This window comes from Homo sapiens, chromosome 4 (genome assembly GCF_000001405.40).
Source record: "Homo sapiens chromosome 4, GRCh38.p14 Primary Assembly".
NCBI classification, from domain to species: Eukaryota; Metazoa; Chordata; class Mammalia; order Primates; family Hominidae; genus Homo; species Homo sapiens.
Window position 1 is genome coordinate 100,984,361 of NC_000004.12, and position 8,332 is coordinate 100,992,692.

At 37.8% G+C, this 8,332-nt stretch overlaps 1 annotated feature.

Annotated features, from left to right (window-relative positions):
• Positions 1,828–2,329: an enhancer, noted in NCBI's record as "OCT4-NANOG-H3K4me1 hESC enhancer chr4:101907345-101907846 (GRCh37/hg19 assembly coordinates)". NCBI's record gives its function as "activates a minimal SCP1, AML or CMV promoter by ChIP-STARR-seq in naive H9 embryonic stem cells {active_cell/tissue: H9 hESC(naive)}" and the evidence as "EXISTENCE:reporter gene assay evidence [ECO:0000049][PMID:30033119]".

The window sequence follows — 8,332 nt, forward strand, 5'->3', positions numbered from 1 at the left end:
TAAAACTATGTATGCATTCATTCTTTCACCTCACAAGGCCGCTTCAAAGGATCTATCCTCAAGGTACACTGGCAAAAACCCAAGCATAGCATTATCTGTGATACCAAAAGACTAGAAATAATCCAAAAGTTCATCACTATGTTACTGGTTGAATAAACAAGGGTTTATTCATATGATGGAGTACTATAAAGCTGTGAATAGGGCATGGGAAGTATCTCTATATCATGCAATGGATTGAGCTCCATAATATATAAGGTAAAAAACTAAAATGGAATAAAACATGCATAGTAAAGTTCATGTAAGAAAGGAATAAATATAACTATATATACATTAGTTTGTATTTTTAATGTAAGGAAAACCCAAAAACTCTTTATTAAAAATACTATCTATGGGGAAGGAAAAAAGTAGCATGGAAGGAGCAGAGATAGGTATTGACTTCTTGAATACTCTTTGCTTTATAAACGTGACTTTGAAATTTTTATATAATTATTACACAAAATTAAGTTAAAACAAATTCTTAAGAAGCAAAAGCAAAATTGAATAAAAAGCAAATATTTATCAAGTTCAAGCAACTTTACAACACAATAAGTTGATTATATATTCCTAGTGGTATGTGCCCTAAGACAAAAGGAATTGCAGCAAAAAAAGAAAGAAATCTTAAAATGTTTCAGTAACCACATTGTTGCAGACAGTGTTGGTATTGTTATTCTAAGATTTTTACACATGAATTGTGGGATAAATCAGATGAGTAATTATGTTGATTCATTGGGAGCTAGGATTTTCTGTGTGGGAGAAAAGAGAAACAGATGAAAGATAAAGTTAAGTGAAAACAGTAGAATCCTGAATTAAAATGGGAAATACCAGTATAAACTCATATGTAGATTATCTTTGAAAAGAAACAAATTCCCTAGCTATATTTATTGAATGGGTCTAGAAACAAGTGGTAACATTGACAAGTCTCAAGAGTAGTGGTGTGCTAGAGTCAGGACACACAGGCTCATAGCAGCTGATTGTTAAATGTTCAGAATATTCTGACACTGTCATTAAAATATTATGGCCTTTTTTTTTTTGAGAATGTGTTTGCCAGAATAATGCTACATAAGAGCCAACATGAAGAAGTTACCGTGGACAAACATTTTCAGCATCAATAAGAATAACTACAGTGGAGTGAAACATCAAATATTATTAAATTTATGTATTCATAATGATATTTCCTCACACTGAAAATAAATGATTAGTCACCTTCAAAGCACATGAAGTAATCAAATTTCTATTTTCAAAAAAGGTAAAGAAGGGGAAAGAGTCCAAATATACAGGGAAACTGATAGGGAGAGGAAGCAGAAATTCTAGGCAGAAAAGGGCAGGTCCCTGGTGAAGCCCCACCCTCAAACTGTAAAGCCTGACACCATGGCCCAAAGCAAGAACTTACATCCCTGTTTTCCTGCTTGAATGTTGCCTTTTCCAACACCACCCACGGCCCCACCCTGCCCCAATCCTGTGCCTATAAAAATCCCAGACTTGGTCTAGATGCAGTGGCTCACGCCTGTAATCCTAGCATTTTGGGAGGCCGAGGAAGGTGGATCACCTGAGGTCAGGTGTTCAGGACCAGCCTGGCCAACGTGGCAAAACTCCATCTTTACTAAAAATACAAAAATTAGCCAGACATGTTGGCGCGTGCCTGTAATACCAGCTACTCAGGAGGCTGAGGAAGCAGAATCTCCTGAACCTGGTGGGGTGGAGGTTGCAGTGAGCCGAGATGCACCATTGCACTCCAGCCTGGGCAACAAGAGCAAAACTCCATCTCGTAGGGGGAGAAAAATCCCAGACTCAGCCAGCAGAAAGGAGAAGCAGCTGGACATTGGAGAGGAGCGGCTTGATGGCATAACTTCAGTGAAGAATCCAGCCAGAGATGGCTGGACTTCAGGAAAATATTACCTTCCCACCCTGTCCCCTTTTCAGCTTCCCTTCCCACTGAGGGCCACTTTCATCAGCAATAAAATCCCCACATTTACCATCCTTCAATTCGTTCATGTGACCTCATTTCTCCTGGATGCTGGACAAGAGCTCAGGAGTCACGAGTGTGGATACAAAAGGCTGTCACACTGACCCTTTGCCCTCACAGGCAGAAGGCAGCTGCTTCGCATGAAAAGACAGAGGGCCCACTGAGCGGTTAACACTTAAGCTCTCTGTGAATAGCAGAGCTAAAAGAGCACTGTAACACCCCATCTGAGGCTTCAGGGGTCACAGGCACCCCCCGCCAGATGCTGCCACAGGGCCCTATGGAATTTTCTCTGGCTGACACCCAAAAGCCCTTGCCCTGGCTTCTGCACCCACTCACCTGCATGCTCCCTCCTGTGAGGGGTGGAATGCAGTGGTTTTGAGTGAGCGAAGTTCGCCCCTGCCAGCGCCAAAGTGGCCATCAGGTTCCAGCATTCCTGCACTCCAGTTCCCAACTCATTAGCTAGCACATTCCTTCCCACAAGGAGTTGAAAGCTGCAGGCTGAGTAAACGAGAAACCCCTGTCATTAGTTCCGTGAAGCAATCAGAGAAATATCCTGCTTCAAAACGTTTTTATAAATGTATGCCAGCTAATAAGTGATACAGAAATGATAAAATGTCACTATTTACAATCCTTAATTAGTTAATGAATTTAGCTTCTAACATGACAAAGTAGAAAAGAATCAGGTGATTGCTTACCTACAAAACACTATTCATGAAATAGTCATGGCTACCACATCCCCAAATCTCTGATCCTCCTCAAAAGTAACCTCTATACTTGTGTGTGAATTTTTTCTCACATTAGCTAACTCTCTAGACACCAAATGGGTGTGCTCCGATTCAATTATTATTCTAGCTACCTGGAGTTAGCATAAACACCATAGGACTGTCCCCTACTTCAGATACCAATTGCAGGCCCCTAGGTTACCCACATTTCTGTCTGACTTGGCTACAAATCAGGGGTTCTGATGACCTCCTTCTCGTGTTTGATAATCTGCTATGATGGCTCACAGAACTCAGAGAAGCACTTATATCTACCTGTTTATTATAAAGGATGTGATAGAGAATACAGATGAATAGCCAGGTGAAGAGGCACTTAGGGCAACATTGGAAGGGTCTTGAGACAGGAGCTTCTGTCCCCATGGAATTAGGGCACATTACCCTCCCAACACATGGATGTATTCACCAGACTTCTTAGAAGCTCTCAGAACTCCATGTTTTAGGAATTTTTTGGATGGTTCATCACATAGGCACGATTGATTATTAACTCCATCTCTAGCCCTTCTTTCCTCTGGGGAGGAATAGGGTAGGTGTGGGGGGCTGAAAGTTCCAAGTTTCTAATCATGTCTTGGTTCTTTCTGATGACCAGCTCCCATCCGAGACTAGCCAAGAGCCAATGAAGAGTCACCTCATTAGAACAAAAGATGATTTTATCACCCAGGAAATCCCAAGGGATTCTAAGGAGCTATGTTTCAGGAACTGGGGTCAGAGACGAAATAGAAAAAAAGATGCTCCTAGTATTCATATCTCTCAGGAAATTTCAAGGGTTTTTGGAGCTGTGTGCTAGGAACCAGGGACAGAGACCAAGTACACATGTCTTACGTCAAAATAGGTAACTATGATTTTACAGGAAGTATAGGGAGCCAAGGATCACGTTAATGAAAACTATGCAATCAGGAAAATTTATACTATTCAAACTCTACAGGACAAATTATGGATTTTTTCAAAAAAATAAACTGCAAAGAAATATAAAGAGATGGGAAAGAGTAGGAGAAAGTGTGTGTATTAGAGAACCTACAGATTGAAAAAAAGATAAGCTAAAGACAACAATCAATTGCAACATGAACCAATTGCAATAATCAGTAAGAAACATTAATCAATTACAATGTATGGATCTTATTTCAATCCTATCAAACTATCTGAGAGGTGGAGGGAATTAAACAATTATGAGACAATTGGGGAAATTTGAACAATGGCTGGACATTTAATGTTATTGAAGAATTATTATTTTTTAAAGTAGAATAATGGCACTGTGGCTATGTTTTTACAACGAACAAATGTTTTGGGAATATATGCTGAAATAATTATGAATGAAATAACATGATACCCAGAGTTTGCTTCCAAATATTGAGTGGGCAAGTGTAGAAGTAAGAAGGAGTATTAGAATTCTGCTACTCCAAGAGTAAACTACCAGCTAGGATCCACATCACCTAGGAGCTTGTTAGAAATGAAGAACCTCAGACTCAAGCCTAAACTATAAAAAACTGTACTTTAACATTCAAGTTCATCAATAGGTTTATTGAAGTTTGAGAATCTCTAGTGTGGCAAAACATATTTGGCCATTGTTTAAGCTTGGTGATAGATATAATAGGATATTATACTTTCTACATTTGTGTGTATCTGATTTTTTAAAAGAAAGCCAAGTTAGAGAGAAGGGTACCTAGAGTGTGAATAGCCCAAAAGTAGACCTTTTCCTTTGTTCTTTACCTCACTTTCCCTAACTTAGTCCCTGCTCTTATACTTAACCATTAGCATGTTCCCTAACTTACCCTGACATAGCACACTTCAAGCCTCTTGAACTCTAGGGCCGTTCCTATTGTGTTACCAATTCTAAGCCCCAAGATCTCCAAGTAGATGTCATAAAGTGAACAATTTCTCTGCTCCCAGAATCCTAACAACGTCTCTGAAAACCACATTAGAGACTCTGCAAGAGAGTTAAGAAGACAGTGATGCCTCCTGCCAAGAATGATTTACAAAGCTCATGAGGAGACAATGTTTTCCAGCTGTCTCCATGCTAGGGCCCAGCTGCACTTTTTATAGCGGTCATTGTTCTTTCTTTAGTAATTAAAAATATTTTAGCACTATTTTGCAAACTACAACGGGGAGGTAAAGGGAGATCTCTCTGCATGTAGATGCAACATTGTATTTTCTGCTGTACAAATATAAAATAATTTATGAATAAGGTCCAGAGGATCAATCAGATAAGAGGAGAATAAATAAAACCAATCTATGATTAAGGTCCAGAGGATCAATCAGACTATAGGAGAATAAGTAAAACATTTCTTCCTTGTATATTAGACAAGGTTCTTTTAATATATAAATGCATTTTCACAATGGTTCAAAAATAAAATCTACTCAACTTCCTGCATTTATACATTGTCCCATCTCATCAGTTTTCTCTTTTTTCCAACTTATACAAATAATTGCCAAGTCATTCAGAATCCAAGATCCTCTGGGAATTACCCTGCCCAGAAATTTAATAAGGAAAGCCAGTGTTAGTCAAATTCCATGCTGCATTTAAAAAGAGCAATAACCTTTCTTTAAACATTTGAATGAAGTTAAGTTTTACTGGTAGTCAAATAAATGCAAAGGAAAACAGTGAAGTGTCACCATAACCTCTCAGATTGGCAATTAGGAATGAGGAAAAGCCAGCATTTTCCCATAATGCTAATGGGAGAGTGATGGGGGAAATCTTACTAAACGGAAGTTTAGCATTATGTATCAATAGTCTTTTTTATTAAAAAGAAGTTTTATTGAAATATAACTGAAATATTATAAACCACCCATACTTAAAGTATATAATTTGAAAACTTTTAATATGTTTATAGCAATGAAACCATAACCATTATCAATATAATAAGCATATTCATCACTCCCCAAAATTTCATGTCCCTTATAAGCCCACTCTTGTGACCATCCCTGACATTTCTTTATGTCCACATTCATGACCTATGATTTTACTGAAATGAAATTACACAGTATGTGTTATTTCATCTGGTCTCTTGCACTCAGCATAATTACTTTGAGACTTATCTATGCCATAGCATGTGCCAGTGGTTTATTCCATTTTAATGCTGAGTAGTATTCTATAATATGGCAAAATCAGTTTATCTATTCACCTGTCATACAGAAATTTGGATGGCTTCCAGTGTTTAGTTGTTACAAATACATCTCTATGAATTTGTGTGTGCAAGTCTTTGTGTGGGCATAAGCTTTCTTTCAACTTGGGTAAGTACATAGGAGTAGAATAGCTGGATTATATGGTAGTAATATGTTTAACTTTTAAATAAATGGCCAAACTGTTTTCAAAAGTTATTGTGCCATTTACATTCCCAGCAGCCATGAATGAGAGTCCTAGTTCCTTAACATCTTGGCAATAACCTGATTTTACTGGTCTTTATTTTTTGACAATCTAGTGTGTGTATACTGTGATTTTAGATTGCATTTCTTTAACAACTAACAATGTGGAACATATTTCCATCCATGTGGATATTTGCCATCTTTATATTTCCATTAGTAAAGTGAAAACTCAAATATTTTGTTGTCTTTATTTAAATTTTGTTTTTTTTTTTTTCCAATTTGCATGTCTTTTATTTCTTTCCCTTGCTTAATTTATCTGGCTAGAATCTGTAGTACTGTTTTAAACAGAAGTGGTTGGAGTGAGCATGTTTGACTAGCTCCTGGTCTTAAAGGAAAAGATTACAATTTTTCAAATTTGAATATTATGTTATCTGTAGTTTGTTATACATGGCTTTATTGTGCTGAGGTACATCCCTTCTGTACCTAACTTAAGACTTTGTATCATAAATGGACATTGAATTTTGTCAAATGACTTTTCTCCATCAAATGAGATTGTCATATGGTTTTTGTCCTTCATTCTATTACTGTAGTGTACCACATTTGCAGGTTTGGCTATGTTGAACCAATCTTGCATCCTAGGAATCCCTTGATCATGTTCCTAGTTGCAGATGACATGATCTTACAAATAAAAATTTCTAGAGACTATAGCAAAAAATGTTAGAACTAATGAGCAAATTCAATAAAGTTGTAGAATACAAAATGAACATACAAAAATCAGTAGGATTTCTATACACTGAGAACAAACTAGCCAAAAAAATCAAGAAAGCAATAAAATTTACAATAGCTACAAAAATATAAAATACCAAAGAATAAGTTTAACCAAGAAAGTGAAAGATATCTACAATGAAAACTATAAAACACTGATAAGAATTAATATTGTAAACCATACTACCAAAAGAAATCAACAGATTTAATGCAATTTCTACTAAAATACCAATGACATTCTTCACAGACATAGAAAAAAAATCCTCAAATTGATATGAAACCACAAAAGATCACGAACAGCTGAACCAATATTGAGCAAAAACAACAAAGCTGAAGTCATCACACTTCATGACTTTTGCCTGGGCAATGATTTCTTGACTATTACCCTAAAATACAGGCAACAAAACAAAAATAGACAAATGTGAATATGTCAAACAAAAAAGCTTCTGCACAGAAAAAGAAACAATCAACAAAGTGAAGAGGCAACTTTCACACACATCCGTGTGAAGAGACAAGCAAACAGGCTTTGTGTGAGCAACAAGGTTGTTTATTTCACCTGGGTGCAGGCAGGCTGAGTCCGAAAAGAGAGTCAGCGAAGGCAGATAGGGGTGGGGCTGTTTTATAGGATTTAGGTGGGTAGTGGAAAATTACAGTCAAAGGGAGTTGTTCTCTGGTGGGCAGGGGCAGAGGACACAAGGAGCTCAGTGGCGGAGCTTTTGAGCCAGGATGAGCCAGGAGAAGGAATTTCACAAGGTAATGTCATCAGTTAAGGCAGGAACAGGCCATTTTCACTTCTTTTGTGATTCTTCAGTTACTTCAGGCCATCTAGATGTATACGTGCAGGTCACAGGGGATATGATGGCTTAGCTTGGGCTCAGAGGCCTGACATTCCTGTCTTCTTATATTAATAAGAAAAATAAAATGAAATAGTGGTAAAGTGTTGGGGCGGCGAAAATTTTGGGGGGTGGTATGGAGGGATAATGGGTGATGTTTCTCAGGGCTGCTTCGAGCAGGATTGGGAGTGATGTGGGAACCTAGAGTGGGAGAGATTAAGCTGAAGGAAGATTTTGTGGTAAGGGGTGATACTGTGGGGTTGTTAGAAGAAACATTTGTCATATAGAATGATTGGTGATGGCCTGGATATGGTTTTGTATGAATTGAAAAGCTAAACAGAATAAGAGAAGGAAAAAAACAGGTCTTAAAGGACTAAGAATTGGGAGGACCTAGGACATCCAATTAGAGAGTGCCCAAGGAGGTTCAGCATAGCCCTGCCAGCAAAGATTATTTATTTACTTTAAGAGTTAAGAGTGGCAGTTTGGGAATAGCACCAGGAGATATCAGCTGTGATGGCTTGGAGAAACAGTATAAACTGGCAGTGTAAACAAGAGCAGGGCATTTATGAGTAGTTGAGAACGGTGAATAGGAGTATGACTAGACAGAAGATAGTAGGGATGACAAGTTTTTTGGGGTGCAGTGAAAGTTGGTCTGG